We start from the raw sequence: 16478 nt of genomic DNA, 5'->3' as shown, positions 1-16478 counted from the left end.
TGCCATCACACCTGGCTAAGTTTTTTTTTTTTTTTTGAGATGGAGTCTCACTCTGTCACCCAGGCTGGAGTGCAGTGGTGCCATCTTGGCTCACCACAACCTCCACCTCCCAGGTTCAAGCAATTCTCCTGCCTCAGCCTCCCAAGTAGCTGAGACTACAGGCGAGCACCACCACGCCCAGCTGATTTTTTGTATTTTTAGTAGAGATGGGGTTTCACCATGTTAGCCAGGATGGTCTTGATCTCCTGACCTCGTGATCTGCCCACCTCAGCCTCCCAAAGTGCTGAGATTACAGGCGTGAGCCACTGTGCCCGGTCGCCTGGCTAATTTTTGTATTTTTTGTAGAGAGAGGATTTCATCTTATTTCCTGGCTGGTCACAAGCTCCTGGACTCAAGTGATCTGTCTGCCTCAGCCTCCAAAGTGCTGGGATTACCAGTAGGAGCCACTGTGGCTGGCTCCTTTCTTTCTGTTTTGCGTGCCTTTTATTTCTTTTTCTTGGCTAATTACTCTGGCTAGAACTTCTAATACTGTTTTGAATAGAGGTGGAAAGTGTGGATATCCTTGTCTTGTTTCTTTTCATAGAGGAAAAGCTTTCAACTTTTCATCATTGAGTATGATGGCTTTTATTGTAGTGAGGTACATTCCTTTTATACTTAATTTGTTAAACGTTTTTATCATGAAAAGGTATTGAATTTTGTTATGTTTTTTCTTCATCTATTGAGATGATCATATAATTATTGTCTTTCATTCTGTTAATGTGATGTATAACAGTTATTGATTTGCATATATTGAACCATTTTTGCATCCCAGAGATAAATCCCACTTAGATAATGGTGAATGATCCTTTGGTATGCTTCTAAATTCTGTTTGCTAGAAATATAGCAATATTTGACTGGGTGCAGTGGCTCACGCCTGTAATCCCAGCACTTTGGGAGGCCGACGTGGGCAGATCACTTGAGGTCAGGAGTTTGAGACCAGCCTGGACAGCATGGTAAAACCCTGTGTGTAGTAAAAATGCAAAAATTAGCTGGGTGTGGTGGTATGCGCCTGTAGTCTCAGCTACTTGGGAGTCTGAAGCATGAGAATCACTTGAGCCTGGAGGTGAAGTTTGCAGTGAGCCAAGATCGCACCACTGCACTCCAGCCTGAGTGACAGAGCATGAAAAAGAAATAAAATAAAAAAAAGAAATATAGCAATATTCATCAGGATTGTTGGCCTGTAATTTTTTTTATGTAGTTTCTTAGTTTGGCTTTGGTATCGGGGTAATGCTGGCCTTGTAAAATGTGTTTGGAAGTATTCCTTTCTCCTCAGGTTTTTGGAAGAGATTGAGAAGGATTGGCATTAGTTATTTAAATGCCTGGTAGAATTCAGCAGTGAAGCTAACAGATCCTAGGCTTTTCTTTGGTGGGAGACTTTATTGCTGATTCAATCTCCTTACTCATTATTAATCTATTCAGATTTTCTATTTCTTCATAATTCAGTCTGGGGAAGTTGTATGTTTCTAGGACTTTATCCATTTCCTTTAGGTTATCCAATTTGTTGGAGTATAATTGTTCATATTAGTCTCTTTCAATCCTTTGTGTCTCGACAGTATCAGTTCTAATGTCTCATCTTTCCTTTCTGATTTGATTTGAATCTTTTTTTCTTAGTCTTGCTAAAGGTTTGTTGATTTTGTTTGTCTTTTAAGAAAATCAACTCAGTTTTCTTGATTCTATTATTTTTCTAGTCTATATTTCATTTATTTTTGCCCTGATCTTATTCCCTTCTGAGAGACAGGATTAGTTGGATTTCCTAGGCTGACTAAGAATTCCTAAGCCTAGCTGGGGCAGGTGACCGCACCTTTAAACAGTGTTTAAACCTTTAAACACTGGGCTTGCAACTCAGCTCACTAAAATACCAATTAGGCTAAAAGCAGGAGGTAAAGAAATAGTCAATCATCTATCACCTGAGAGCACAGCAGGAGGGACAATGATTGGGATATAAACCCAGGCATTGGTGCTGGACTGGGCAACCCCCTTTGGGTCCCCTCCCGTTGTATGGGAGCTCTGTTTTCACTCTATTAAATCTTGCAACTGCACACTCTTCTGGTCCATGTTTGTTCTGGCTTGAGCAGAGCTTTCACTTGCCGTCCACCACTGCTGAATGCCGCCATCACAGACCCCCCGTTGACTTCCACCCCTTGGGATCTGGCAGGGTGTCCGCTGTTCTTCTGATCCAGTGAGGTGCCCATTGCCACTCCTGATCAGGCTAGAGGCTTGCCATTATTCCTGCATGGCTAAGTGCCGAGGTTAGTCCTAATGGAGCTGAACACTAGTCACTGGGTTCCATGGTTCTCTTCCATGACCCATGGCTTCTAATAGAGCTATAACACTCACCACATGGCCCAAGGTTCCATTCCTTGGAATCCGTGAGGCCAAGAACCCCAGGTCAGAGAACAAAAGGCTTGCCACCATCTTGGGAGCAGCCCGCCACCATCTTGGGAGCAGCCCGCCACCATCTTGGGAGCTCTAAGAACAAAGACCCGCCGGTAACACTTCCTTCTACTAACTTTGGTCTTAGTTTGTTCTTCTTTTTCTAGTTCCTTGGGGTGTAATGTTAGGTTGTTTTCTTTTTTTTTTAGATCCTTCTTTTTCAATGTAGGCATTTATTGCTATAAATTTCCTTCTTACAGTTGCTTTTGCTGTTATCCCATACATTTTGGTATATCGTTTTTCCATTTTTGTGTGTCTTAAATTATTTTAAAATTTCCCTTTTGATTTCTTTTTTGACCCATTGTTTGTCCAGGAGCCTGTTGTTTAATTTCCACATATTTTTGAATTTTCCAAAATTCCTCCATTTGTTGATTTCTAATTTTATACCATTGTGGTTGGAAAAGATACTTGATATAGTTTTAGTCTCTTAATTTTAAAATAATTATCATATATACATTATTATATAATTATATATTATAATTACCTACGTGTTATCATACAACACATTAAATTTATCACACTATATTGCGCAGTGTTAATATAATAAATATAACAGCTGATGTATTGTCGGTAATATTAGAGTGAATATAATGTCCAATATGTTATATTGTATATTATTATATTTGCATATAATAACTTTAGGGAGATATGTACAAGATTTTAAATTGCAGCTGGTTCTCCCAGCATTGTATCCCTCTCTCTGGTTTATTTCTTTTCTTTTTTTTTACAAAAACACGTGTTCCTCTTTTTTTTTTTTTTTTGAGATGGAGTTTCACTCTGTTACCCAGGCTGGAGTGCAGTGGTTTAATTTCGGCTCACTGCAACCTCTGCTCCTGAGCTCAAGCAATCCTCCTGCCTCAGCCTCCCAAGTAGCTGGGATCACAGACTCATGCCACCATGCCCAGCTAATTTTTGTATTTTTGGTAGAGATGGGTTTCACCATGTTGCTCAGGCTGGTCTTGAACTCCTAAGCTCAAGCCATGCACCTGCCTTGTCTTCCCAAAGTGCTACGTGTGAACCGTCTCACCCCGCCAAAAATAAGTGTTCTTTTAATCACTAAAAGCAGGGTATTCATGCAATTTATCCAAAATTATCAATTTTTTTCTGTTCCTTTCCCTTCTATAGTCCAACATCTCATCTATCATCCCTGCTACCACTTCCCCTGCCCCCACCTGCAGGTATTTTCCATTTGCTCTCTGGGTTATTAATGCCAATCTCCTTCTAATATGTGAATTATTCTGAAGAATGTTTTGTGTGCACTTGAGAAGAATGTATATCCTGTTACTGTTGGATGGAATATTTGTATATGTCTTTTAGGTCCATTTGGTCTACAGTGTACTCCAAGTTCAATGTTTTCTTTTTTTTTTTTTAATTACATGGATAAGTTCTTTATTGGTGATTTCTGAGATTTTGGTACACCCATCACCTGAGCAGTGTAGACTGTACCCAATGTGTATTCTTTTATTCCTTACCCTCCTCCCACCCTTCTCCCCAAGTCTCCAGAGTCCATTATGTCATTCTTCTGCCTTTGTGTCCTCATAGCTTAGCTCCCACTCGTAAGTGAGAATATATGATGTTAGGTTTCCCATTCCTGAATTACTTCATTTATATTAATGGTCTCCAACTTCATCCAGGTTGCTGCGAATGCCATTATTTTACTGCTTTTTATAGCTGAGTAGTATTCCATGGTGTATATATACCATATTTTCTTTATCCACTTGTTGGTTGATTGGGCATTTAGGCTGGTTCCATACTTTTGCAATTTTGAATTGCACTGCTATAAACGTGCATGTGCAAGTGTCTTTTTCATATAATGACTTCTTTTCCTCTGAGTAGATACCCAGCAGTAGGATTGCTGGATCAAATGGTAGTTCTAATTTTAGTTCTTTAAGGAGGCTCTATACTGTTTTCCATAATGGTTGTACTAGTTTATATTCCTACCAGCTGGGTGAAAGTGTTCCCTTTCCACCACATCCACACCAATATCAATTTTTTTTAATTTTTAAATTATGGCTATTCTTGCAGGAGTAAAGTGGTACCACATTATGGTTTTAGATTCACATTTCTTTGATAATTAGTGATGTGAGCATTTTTTAAAATATGTTTGTTGGTCATATGTATATCTTCTTTTAAGAATTGTCTATGGCCGGGTGCAGTGGCTCACACCTGTAATCCCAGCACTTTGGGAGGCTGAGCCAGGTGGATCACGATGTCAGGAGTTCGAGACCCTCCTGGCTAAAATGGTGAAACCTTGTCTCTACTAAAAATACAAAAAAATTAGGTGGGCGTGGTGGCACGCACCTGTAATCCCAGCTACTTGGGAGGCTGAGGCAGGAGAATAGCTTGAACCCAGGAGATGGAGGTTGCAGTGAGACGAGATTGCACCACTGCACTCCAGCCTCGGTGACAGAGTGAGACTCCATCTCAAAAATAAATAAATAAATAAAAATAAATGTCTATTCATGTCCTTAGCTCACTTTTTTAAAAAAAATTTTAAAATTTATTTTATTTTATTTTATTTTTGAGACAGGGTCTGTCTCTCTTGCCCAGGCTGGAGTGCAGTGGTGTAATCTCAGCTTACTGCAGCTTCCACCTCCTGGGTTCAAGGGATCCTCCTATCTCAGACTCCCAAGTAGCTGGGACTACACAGACGCCACTGGACCCTGCTCATTTTTGTATTTTTTATAGGGACAGGGTTTCTCTATGTCGCCTAGGCTTGTCTCAAACTCCTGGGCATAAGTGATCCACCCACCTTGGCCTCCCAAAGTGCTGGGATTACAGACATGGGCCACCAAGCCCAAACGTTAGCCTAATTTTTGATGGGATTATTTGTTTTTTTCTTGCTGATTTGCTTGAGTTCCTTGTAAATTCTGAATGTTAGTCCTTTGTTGGATGCATAGTTTGTAAATATTTTCTTCCACTCTATGGGTTTTCTGTTTACTTTGCTGATTATTTCTTTTGCTGTGCAGAAGCATTTTAGTTTAATTAAGTCCCAGCTATTTATCTTTGTTTTTGTTGCACTTGCTTTTGGGTTCTTGGTCATGAACTCTTTGCCTAGGCCAATGTCTAGAAGGGTTTTTCCAATATTATCTTCTAGAATTTTTATGGTTTCAGGTCTTAGATTTAGGTCTTTGATCCATCTTGAGTTGATTTTTGTATAAAGTGAGAGACGAGGATCCAGTTTCATTCTTCTATATGTGGCTTGCCAATGATCTCGGCACTGTTTGTTGAATAGGGTTTCCTTTCCCCACTTTATGTTTTTGTTTGCTTTGTTGAAGATCAGTTGGCTGTAAGTATTTAGCTTTATTTCTGGTTTCTCTATTATGTTCCATTTGTCTATTTGCTTGTTTTTATACCAGTACCATGCTGTTTTGGTAACTATGCTTTGTAGTACAGTTTGAAATTGGGTAATATAATGTCTCCAGATTTATTCTTTTTGCTTAGTCTTGCTTTGGCTATGCTGGCTGGCTCTTTTTTGGTTATGTATGAATTTTAGGATTTTTTTTCTAGTTCTGTGAAGAATAATGATGGTATTTTGATGGAAATTGCATTGAATTTGTAGATTGCTTTTAGCAATATGATCGTTTTCACAATATTGACTCTACCCATCCATGAGCATGGGATGTGTTTCCATTTGTTTGTGTCATCTATGATTTCTTTCAGCCGTGTTTTGCAGTTTTTCTTGTAAAGGTCTTTCACCTCCTTGGTTAGGTATATTACTAAGCATTTTATTATTATTATTTTTTGCAGCTATTGTAAAAGGGCTTGAGTCCTTGATTTGATTCTCAGCTTGGTTGCTATTGGTGTATAGCAGTGCTGCTGATTTGTGTACATTGATTTTGTATCTTAAAACTTTACTGAATTCATTTATCTGATCTAGGTGACTTTTGGATGAGTCTTTAGGGTTTTTAGGAGTATGATCATATTTGACATATGATTATTTGTCAGACAGTGACAGTTTGACTTCCTCTTTACTGATTTGGATGCCCTTCATTTCTTTCTCTTGTCTGATTCCTCTGGATAGGACTTCTAGTACTATGTTGAATAGAAGTGGTGAAAATGAGCATCCTTATCTTGTTACAGTTATCACTGAAAATGCTTTCAACTTTTTCCCATTCAGTATAGTGTTAGCTACGGGTTTGTCATAGATGGCTTTTATTACCTTAAGGTATCCCTTCTGTGTCAGTTTTGCTGAGGGTTTTAATCATAAAGGAATGCTGGGTTTTATAAAATGCTTTTTTTGTGTCTATTGAAATGATTATATGGTTTTTGTTTTTAATTCTGTTTATGTGGTGTATTACATTCACTTCTGTATTTCAATCATCCCTGAATCCCTGGCATGAAACTCACTTAATCATGGTGTATTATCTTTTTGATATACTGTTGGATTCAGTTAGCTAGTATTTTGTTGAGGATTTTTGCATCTATGTTCATCAGGGATATTGGTCTGTAGTTTTCTTTTGTCCTTTCCTAATTTTGGTATTATGGTTATACTGACTTTTTTTTTTGGATGGAGTCTTGCTCTGTCACCAGGCTGGAGTGCAGTGGCGTGATCTCAGCTCACTGCAACCTCCGACTCCCTGGTTCAAGTGATTCTCCTGCCTTAGCCTCCCGAGTAGCTGGGATTACAGGCATGCGCCATCACACCTGGATAATTTTTGTATTTTTTAGTAGAGACGGGGTTTCTCCATGTTGGCTAGAATGGTCTTGATCTCCTGACCTCGTGATCCACCCGCCTCAGCCTCCCAAAGTGCTGAGATTACAGGCATGAGCCACCAAGCCCGGCTGGTTATACTGACTTTATAGAATGATTTAGGGAGGATTCCCTCTTGCTCTATCTCTTAGAGTAGTTTCAGTAGGATTGGTACCAATTATTTTTGAACGTCTGATAGAATTCAGCTGTGAATCCATCTGGTCCTGGACACTTTTTTTTTTGGTAATTTTTAAGTTACCATTTCAGTCTTGCTGCTTGTTATTGGTCTGGTCAGAGTTTCTATTTCTTACTAGTTTAATCTAGGAGGGTTGTATATTTCCAGGAATTTATACATCTCCTCTAGGTTTTCTAGTTTGTGAGGGTAAAGGTGTTCACAGCAGCCTTGAATGATCTTTTGTATTTCTGCCATATTGTTTGTAATACATCCCATTTTGTTTCTAATTGAGCTTATTCGAATCTTCTCTCTTCTTTTCTTGAGTAATCTTTCTAATGGTCTATGAATTTTGTTTATCTTTTCAAAGAACCTGCTTTTTGCTTCATTTATCTCTTGTTTTCTTTTTTTGTTTGTTTGTTTCAATTGTATTTAGCTCTGCTCTGATCTTTGTAATTTCTTTTCTTCTGCTGGGTTTGGGTTTGGTTTATTCTTGTTGCTCTATTTCCTTGAGGTGTGGCCTTTAATTGTCTCTTTGTGCTCTTTCAGACATTTTGAGGTAGGCATTTAATGCTATAAACTTTCCTTGTAGCATTGCTTTTGCTGTATTCCTGAGGTTATGATAGGTTTTGTCACTAGTATCATTCAGTTCAAAAAAAATTTTTTTTTTGGCGACAGAGTTTCACTCTGTCATCCATGCTGGAGTACAATGGTGCAATCTCGGCTCACTGCAACCTCCATCTCCCAGGTTCAAGCGATTCTCCTGCCTCAGCTTCCCAAGTAGCTGAGATTACAGGTATGTACCACCATGCCTGGCAAATTTTGTATTTTTAGTAGAGACAGGGTTTCTCCGTGTTGGTCAGGCTGGTCTCAAGTTCCCGACCACAGGTGATCCACCCACTTCGGCCTCCCGAAGTGCTGGGATTACAGATGTGAGCCACCATGCCCGGCCCAGTTCAAATAATTTTTTAATTTCCATTTTGATTTCATTGTTGACCCAGGGATCATTCAGGAGCAGATTATTTAATTTACATGTATTCGTATAGTTTTGAATGTTCCTTTTGGAGTTAATTTCCAATTTTATTTCACATTGCCCTGGGAGAGTACTTGATATAATTTCAATTTTCTCAAATTTATTGAGACTTGTTTTGTGGTCTATCATATTGTCTATCTTGGAGAATGTTCCATGTGCTGAAGAATAGAATGTATATTCTGTAGTTGTTGGGTAGAATGCTCTGTAAATATCTGTTAAGTGCATTCGTTCTAGGGCATAGTTTAAGTTCATTATTTCTTTGTTGACTCTCTGTCTTGATGACCTGTCTAGTGCTGTCAGTAGAGTATCGAAATCCCCCACTATTATTGTGTTGCCATCTATATCATTTCTTTCACCTAGTAGTAATTATTATTATTATTATTATTATTTTTTTTTTTTGAGACAGAATCTTACTCTGTCACCCAGGCTGAAGTGCAGTGGTGCCATCTTGCCTCAATGCAACCTTCACCTCTCATGTAGCTGGGATTATAGGCATGCACCACCACACCCAGCTAATTTTTCTATTTTTAGTAGAGATAGGGTTTCACTATGATGGCCAGGCTGATCTTCAACTCCTGGCCTCAAGTGATCTGCCTGCCTCGGCCTACCAAAGCACTGGGATTACAGGTGTGAGCCACCACGCCTAGCCAGTAGTAATTGTTTCATAAATTTGGGAGCTCCAGTGTTAGATGCATATATATTTAGGATTGTCATATTTTCCTATTGGACTAATCCTATTATTATTATATAATGTTCTCTTTGTCTTTTTTAAATTGTCATTACTTTAAAGTCTGTTTTGTCTGATATAAGTATAGCTACTCTGGCTTGATTTTGGTTTCCATTAGCATGGAATATATTTTTCCACCCCTTTACCTTAACTCAGTGCGGGCCCTTGTGTGTTAGGTGAGTCAGTTGAAGGCAGCTGATTCTTGGTTGGTGGATTTTTAACCATTCTGCCATTCTTTATCTTTTAAGTGAAACATTTAGGCCATTTACATTCAAAATTTCTACTGAGATGTGAGGTACTATCCTATTCATCATGCTAGTTGTTACCTGAATACCTTGTTTTGTTTTCACTGTGTTTTATAGGCCTTATGAGATTTATGCTTTGAGGAAGATCTATTTTGGTATATTTTGAGGTTTTGTTTCAAGATTTAGAACTCCTTTTGGCATTTCTTGTAGTGCTGGCTTGGTAGTGGTGAATTCTCTCAGCATTTGTCTGAAAAAGAGTTTATCTCTCTTTCATTTATCAAGCTTAGTTTTGCTGGATACAAAGTTCTTGCCTGATAATTATTTTGTTTAAGGAGGCTAAAGATAGGACCCCAGGCAGGGCACAGTGGCTCACGCCTGTAATCCTAGCACTTTGGGAGGCCAAGGAGGGGCAGAACACGAGGTCAAGAGTTTGAGACCATCCTGGCCAACATGGTGAAATCCCATCTCTACCAAAAATACAAAAATTAGCTGGGCATGGTGGTGCGTGCCTGTAGTTCCAGCTACTTGGGAGGCTGAGGCAGGAGAATCGCTTGAACCCAGAAGGCAGAGGTTACAGTGAGCCAAGATCATGCCACTGCACTCCAGCCTGGGCCTCAGTGTGAGACTCCGTCTTAAAAAGAAAGAAAGAAAAAAAAGATAGGACCCCAATCCCTCTGGCTTATAGGGTTTCTACTGAGAAATCTGCTGTTAATTCAATAGGTTCTCCTTTATGTTTTACCTGATGTTTTTGTCTCACAGCTCTTAAGATTATTTCCTTTGTCTTGACTTGATGATTAAGTGCCTAGGTGATGATCTTTTTATGATAACTTTCCCAGGTGTTCCTTGAGTTTCTTGTATTTGAATGTCTAGATCTCTAGCAGGGCCAAGGAAGCTTTTTTTTCATTATTATTCCCTCAAATATGTCTTCCAAACTTTTAGATTTCTCTTCTTCCTCAGGAACACAAATTATTCTTATGTTTGCTCATTTAATAGAATCTCAAATTTCTTGGAAACTTTGTTCATTTTTTTAAAATTCATTTTGTCTTTGTCTTTGTCTCATTGGGTTAATTTGAAAGCCTTGTCTTTAAGCTCTGAAGTTCTTTTTTCTACTTGTTCTAGTCTATTGTTGAAACTTTCCAGTGTATTTGGTATTTCTCTAAGTGTGTCTTTCATTTCCAGAAGTTGTGAGTGTTTTTTCTTTATGATATCTATTTTTCTGGAGAATTTTTAATCCATATCCTGTATTGTTTTTAAAATGTCTTTAAGTTGGTTTTCACCTTTCTGTGGGTGGCAAGCCACCCAGGTGCCAGCCAAAGCAAGAGACCGAGGGTACAAGCTGTTCCAGTATAATAAAGAAAATATATAGAATAAGAATAGTTATACTAGAAATAGATTATGGATATGATTACATATGAATGTTATTAATCATTAGTAGCTTTATTCTTTATTCCAATATTATAATAATCTTTGTTCTACAATTATAACCTAGGAAAAACCAGGCCATACAGAGATAGGAACTGAAGGGACACAGAAGTGACCGGAAGACAAGAGTATGAGCCATCTGTCATGCCCAGACAGGGTCACTAGAGGGCTCCTTGTTCTAGTGGTAATGCCAGTGCCTTGGAAGGCACCCGTTACTTAGCCGACCGGGAAAGGGAGTCTTTCTTTCCCCCAGGGGAGTTAGAGAAGACTCTGCTGCACCACCTCTTGTGGAAGGCCTGACAACAGTCAGTCTCACCCTCAGCCATCCGGAGTCCTAACCGTTTCCCTGTGATGCTGTGGTTCAGCGGTCACGCTCCTGGTCCACTTTCATGTTCCGCCTTGTACACCTGGCTCTGCCTTCTAGATAGCAGTAGCAGAATTAGTGAAAGTACTAAAGTCTTTGAAATGCGTGGAAGAAATAATGACATAAGCCGTCCCCTCTCTTTCTCCGCCTTGGCTACTAAACAGGGAAGGGACACCCCCCCACCCCCGGGTCCGGTGGACACGTGACTCGTGTGATCTTACTTATCATTGGAGATGGCTCACACTCCTTACCCTGCCCTCTTGCTTTGTATCCAGTAAATAACAGCACAGCCAGGCATTCGCGGGCACTACTGGTCTCCGCGTCTAGGTGGTAGTGGTCCCCCGGGCCCAGCTGTCTTTTCTTCTATCTCTTTGTCTTGTGTCTTTATTTCTACGATCCCTTGTCTCCTCACATGAGGAGAAAAACCCACAGGCCCAGTAGGACTGGACCCTACACTTTCTCTGGTAACTCCTTGAGTAGCTTAATAATCAACCTTCTGAATTCTTTATCTGGCAATTCAGAGGTTTCCTCTTGGTTTGGTTCCATTGCTAGAGAGCTAGTGTGATCTTTTAGGGGTGTCAAAGAACCTTGTTTTTTCATATTACCAGAATCACTTTTCTTGTTCCTTCTCATTTGGGAGGATTATTTCAGGTGAAAAATCTGGAACTCAAGGGCTGCTGTTCAGGTTCTTTTGTTCCACCAGGTGATCCCTTGCTGTGGTGTTCTCTCCCTTCTCCTGGGATGGGGGCTTCCTGAGAGTTGGGCTGCAATGATTGTTACTGCCACCCAGCAGAGCTACTGGGCTCTGGGCTAGTACTGGGGATTGTCTGCAAAGAGTCCTGTGATGTGATCTGTCCTTTGGTCTCCCAGCTGTGGATACCCAGTGAAGGTGGCAGGGGAGTGAAGTGGACTCTGTGGGAATTGTTGGTTGTACTTTTGTTTAGTGCACTGTTTTTCTAGAATGCTGGTAATCCTAGCAGTGAAGTTGTCATGTGGAAGGATTCAGGAACCTCTGGTTAGCCATGTTGTAGGGAGTGGAATTAGCTGTTGTTTTCTCCTTCTTTGGAGCAGAGTTGTTTTCTTATGAGTTGCTATAATGGCTTAAGTTGGGTGACCTCCAGCTAGGAAGTGGTGCTTTCAAGAGAGCACCAGCTGTGGTAGAAGGGGGATATAAGCTTGCCCTATGTTGGTCAGGATAAGTATTCAGGCTTCTCAGGTGATGGGCAAGGCCACAGAGCTCCCACGAATTTATGTCTTTTGTCTTCAGCTATCAGGGCAGGTAGAGAAAAACTATCAGATGGGGGCAGGGTTAGATGGATCTGAGCTCAGACTCTTCTCTGGGGCTTGCTGAGGCCACTGTCCGGTATGGGGAGTGTGGTTCTCAGGCCAATGGAATTATGTTCCCAGGGGGATTATGGCTGCCTCTGCTGTGTCATCCAGGTTGCCAGGGAAGTGGAGAAAGCCAGCGGTGGTTAGCCTCCTCCAGCTTCCACGCAGCCAGCAAGGCCGTCTCATTCCTGCTGTGCCCTGCCAACACCACCGAGTTTATATTCAGGCAGCTGGCATGCGGGGCTGAGCTCTTGCCCCAGGCCGTAAGCTTCCCTGCTGAGAAGGGTAGCAGAACTTTCAGGCCTTGCCCCTCCCTGTCTGCCTACACCTTTGGCTGTAGCTTCTGAGCTGCTATCTGCACTTCCTGTTCACCCCCTGAGTTCTGCTCACAAAAATTCGTGCTGGGTCAAAATTATTACAAAGTTCAGCTAGAAGCTTCTTTCACCCTTTGACCCTTCCCTAATTCCTCTGGCTGCCTTCCCCAAGGACCCCTGTGAGATTAAGTCAGGGACGGTTTCCTTGGGCTCAAGTTGGGGACTGGGAGTGCCTACAAGGCTCTTCCCACTGCTTTTTCTACTTTTCATATTTTGCTCAGCTCCCTAAATCTGTTTTAGCTCTAGGTAAGGTTAAATTCTTCTCCTGTGATCTGGATTTTCAGGTTCCCCAGTGTTTGGGGATGTGTGTTTGGAGGCAGGCTTTCCCCGACCTCACACGTTGGGAACTCACAGTTTTTCTACTATCTCATAGAGTTTGCAACAGCAAACTGCTTCTTTCAGAGGGTCTGTGAATTCTTTCAGTTTTCCTGATATGTTCCTGCAGTGGTACTTGAGCAAAATTTCACGATATGAGTCTCTACAAGCTGTTCTGTTCATCCAAGTGGGAGCTACACATTAGACCTGTCTCCTATTTGCCATTTTCTTTCTCACTGCACCCTCTTAGAGTTTTTTCCTTTTTTTTTTTTTTTTTTTGAGACAGAGTCTCCCTCTGTCATCCAGGCTGGAATGCAGTGGCATGATCTTGGCTCACTGCAACCTTCACCTCCCAGGTTCAAGTGATTCTCATGCCTCAGCCTCCTGAGTAGCTGGGATTACAGGCACCCGTCACCACGCCCAGCTATTTTTTTTTTTGTATTTTTAGTAGAGACAGGTTTCACCATGTTGGCCAGGCTAGTCTCAAACTCCTAACCTCAAGTTTCCTAGAGTGCTGGAATTATAGGCATGAGCCACTGCCCCTGGACTACATTTTTAAAGACTTGTTTTGTGGCCTAACATATCTATTCTGGAATATGTTCTGTGTGTATACTTGAGAGGAATGTGTATTTTAGTGGGGTTGGATATATTGTCCTATATATGTCATTCAGGTCCATTTGGTCTAAAACAAGCTTGTCCAACCCATGGCCCATGGGCTACATGCGGCCCAGGATGGCTTTGAATGTGACCCAACACAAATTCGTAAACTTTCTCAAAACATTATGAGATTTTTTTTTCTTTTAGCTTATCAGCTATTGTTAGTGTATTTTATATGTGGCTCAAGACAATTCTTCTTCTTCCAATGTTGCCCAAGGAAGCCAAAAGATTGGACACCCATGGTCTAATGTGTAGTTCAAGTCCAATGTTTCCTTATTGATTTTTTGTCTGGATGATCTGTTCATTATTGAAAATAGGGTTTGAAATTCTCCTGCTATTATCATATTGCAATCTGTCTTTCTCTTCAGATCTGTTAATATTTGCTTCATATATTTAGGAGCTCCAGTGTTGGGGGTGTATATATTTACAGTTGTTATATCCTTCTCTCTAAATGTCTGAAATAAAGTTGTCATATCCTTTTGATTACTTGACCCCTTTATCACTATATAATGACAATTTTTATCCATTTTTACAGTTTTTTTACTTAAGATCTATTTTGTCTGTTATAAATATTGCCACTCCTGCTCTCTTTTGTTTTCCATTTACATTAAATATCTGTTTCTATGTCTTTGCTTTTAGTCTAAATGTGTCTTTATGATTGAATTATATAGGCAGCATATGGTTGAACTTTTTTTTTTTTTTTTTTTTTTGAGACAGAGTCTCGTTCTGTCGCCCAGGCGGGAGTGCTGTGGCGCGATCTCCGCTCACTGCAAGCTCCGCCTTCCGGGTTCACGCCATTCTCCTGCCTCAGCCTCCCGAGTAGCTGGGACTACAGGCGCCCGCCACTGCGCCCGGCTAATTTTTTGTATTTTTAGTAGAGACGGGGTTTCACCGTGGTCTCGATCTCCTGACCTCGTGATCCGCCCGCCTCGGCCTCCCAAAGTGCTGGGATTACAGGCGTGAGCCACCGTGCCCGGCCAGAACTTTTTTTTTAAGGCATTCTCTTTTGACTGGAGAATTTAATCCATTTACATTTTTTTTTTTTTTTTTTTTGAGACAGAGTTTCACTCTTGTTGCCCGGGCTGGAGTGCAATGGCACCATCTCGGCTCACCACAACCTCCGCCTCCCTGGTTCAAGCAATTCTCCTGCCTCAGCCTCCCAAGTAGCTGGGATTACAGGCATGTGCCTCCATGCATGGCTAATTTTGTATTTTTTGTAGAGATGGGGTTTCTCCATGTTGGTCAGGCTGGTCTCGAACTCCCGACCTCAAGTGATCCGCCTGACTTGGCCTCCCAAAGTGCTGGGATCACAGGCATGAGCCATCGCACCGAGCAATCCATTTACATTTAAAGTAATTTTTGACAGGTAAGAAATTATGATTGCCATTTTGTTAATTGTTTACTGACTGTTTTGTAGTTCCTTTCTTCCAATCTTGCTGTCTTCCTTTGTGATTCGTTGAATTTTTGTAGTGGTACGCTTTGATTTCTTTTTCTTTATCTTTTGTGTATCTACTAGAGATTTTTTCTTTGTGGTTACTATGGGGCTTACATAAAGTATCTTATAGTTATAACATTCTAATTTAAGTTAATAACAGCTTAACTTCAAGCACATACAAAAACTGTATACTTTTACTTCTCCCTTATCCCATTTTATGCTATTGAAGTTACACTTTACATCTTTTATAGTATATTTTCATTAACAAACTGTGGTAGCTATATGTTTTTAATTAATTATTTTATTTTTTATAGCGATAGAGTCTTGTTATGTTGTCTACACTGGTTTCAAATTTCTGAACTCAAGTGATCCTCCTACCTCAGCCTCCCAAGTAGCTGGGACAGGTGCATGACACTGCACCTGGCATATAGTTATTTTAAATACTTTTAATTCCTGCTTTTAAATGCAACTTTACATGGACTGCTACTATACACAGCCTGTAATCCAGTTTGCCTGAATTTTCTCCCATCTCCTGAGAAGCATCGTAAGGCACCTGTACCTAACACAGTTTGAGAACTTCTGATCTGGTTTAAATCTGTCATGTACAAATGTGAAAGTTGAGGTTCAGAGAAGGGTAATGACTTTTCTAAAGTTACTCAGATTTTTAGTGGCCAAGTTGTGGCTAAGAACTTGAAAGTTTAGAAAATGGCAATTCCCTTCTTCTAGTTGTCCTGGTCATAAATCTTGAACTAATCCTGGAGTCTTCTCTTTCCTTCACTCCTCATTTCTTGCTGTCCATTATCAACTGCCCTTTAAAAATACATTTAGAATCAGACAATCTCTCCTTTCTACTATGCTACAACTTTGATCCCAGTTACCATCATTTCTCTACTGCAATAGCATCCTGAATCATCCTCTGCTTTTCTCATTTTCTCCCTTCCTCCTTACCTCCTGTACTGGCTTTATTCAACACTGCAACCGGAGTGATCCTTTTAAAAATACCACATTTAATTGAATCTAAGATGCCATCAATTTAAGATGCACTATTATCTTTTTAAATTTTTCCAATTTAATTTTTTTTTATAGAGATGGGGGTCTCACTATGTTGCCCATGCTGGTCTTGAACTCCTGGGCTCAAGCAATCCTCCTGCCTCAGCCTCCCAAAATTTTGGGATTACAGGCATGAGCCACTGTGCCTGGCCCATATGATGATTTAATACTTTCCATCACTTACATTTTT

General features: G+C 40.4%; 2 annotated features.

Annotated features, from left to right (window-relative positions):
- Positions 10820–11114: a silencer, noted in NCBI's record as "tiled region #1485; HepG2 Repressive non-DNase unmatched - State 12:CtcfO". NCBI's record gives its function as "represses a minimal TATA promoter and a strong SV40 promoter by Sharpr-MPRA in HepG2 cells {active_cell/tissue: HepG2}" and the evidence as "EXISTENCE:reporter gene assay evidence [ECO:0000049][PMID:27701403]".
- Positions 10860–10999: a silencer, noted in NCBI's record as "silent region_1550". NCBI's record gives its function as "represses an Ori minimal core promoter by ATAC-STARR-seq in GM12878 lymphoblastoid cells {active_cell/tissue: GM12878}" and the evidence as "EXISTENCE:reporter gene assay evidence [ECO:0000049][PMID:35858748]".

This window comes from Homo sapiens, chromosome 1, assembly GCF_000001405.40.
Source record: "Homo sapiens chromosome 1, GRCh38.p14 Primary Assembly".
In the NCBI taxonomy this organism is placed as follows: Eukaryota; Metazoa; Chordata; class Mammalia; order Primates; family Hominidae; genus Homo; species Homo sapiens.
This window is presented reverse-complemented; position numbering and strand designations above follow the sequence as displayed.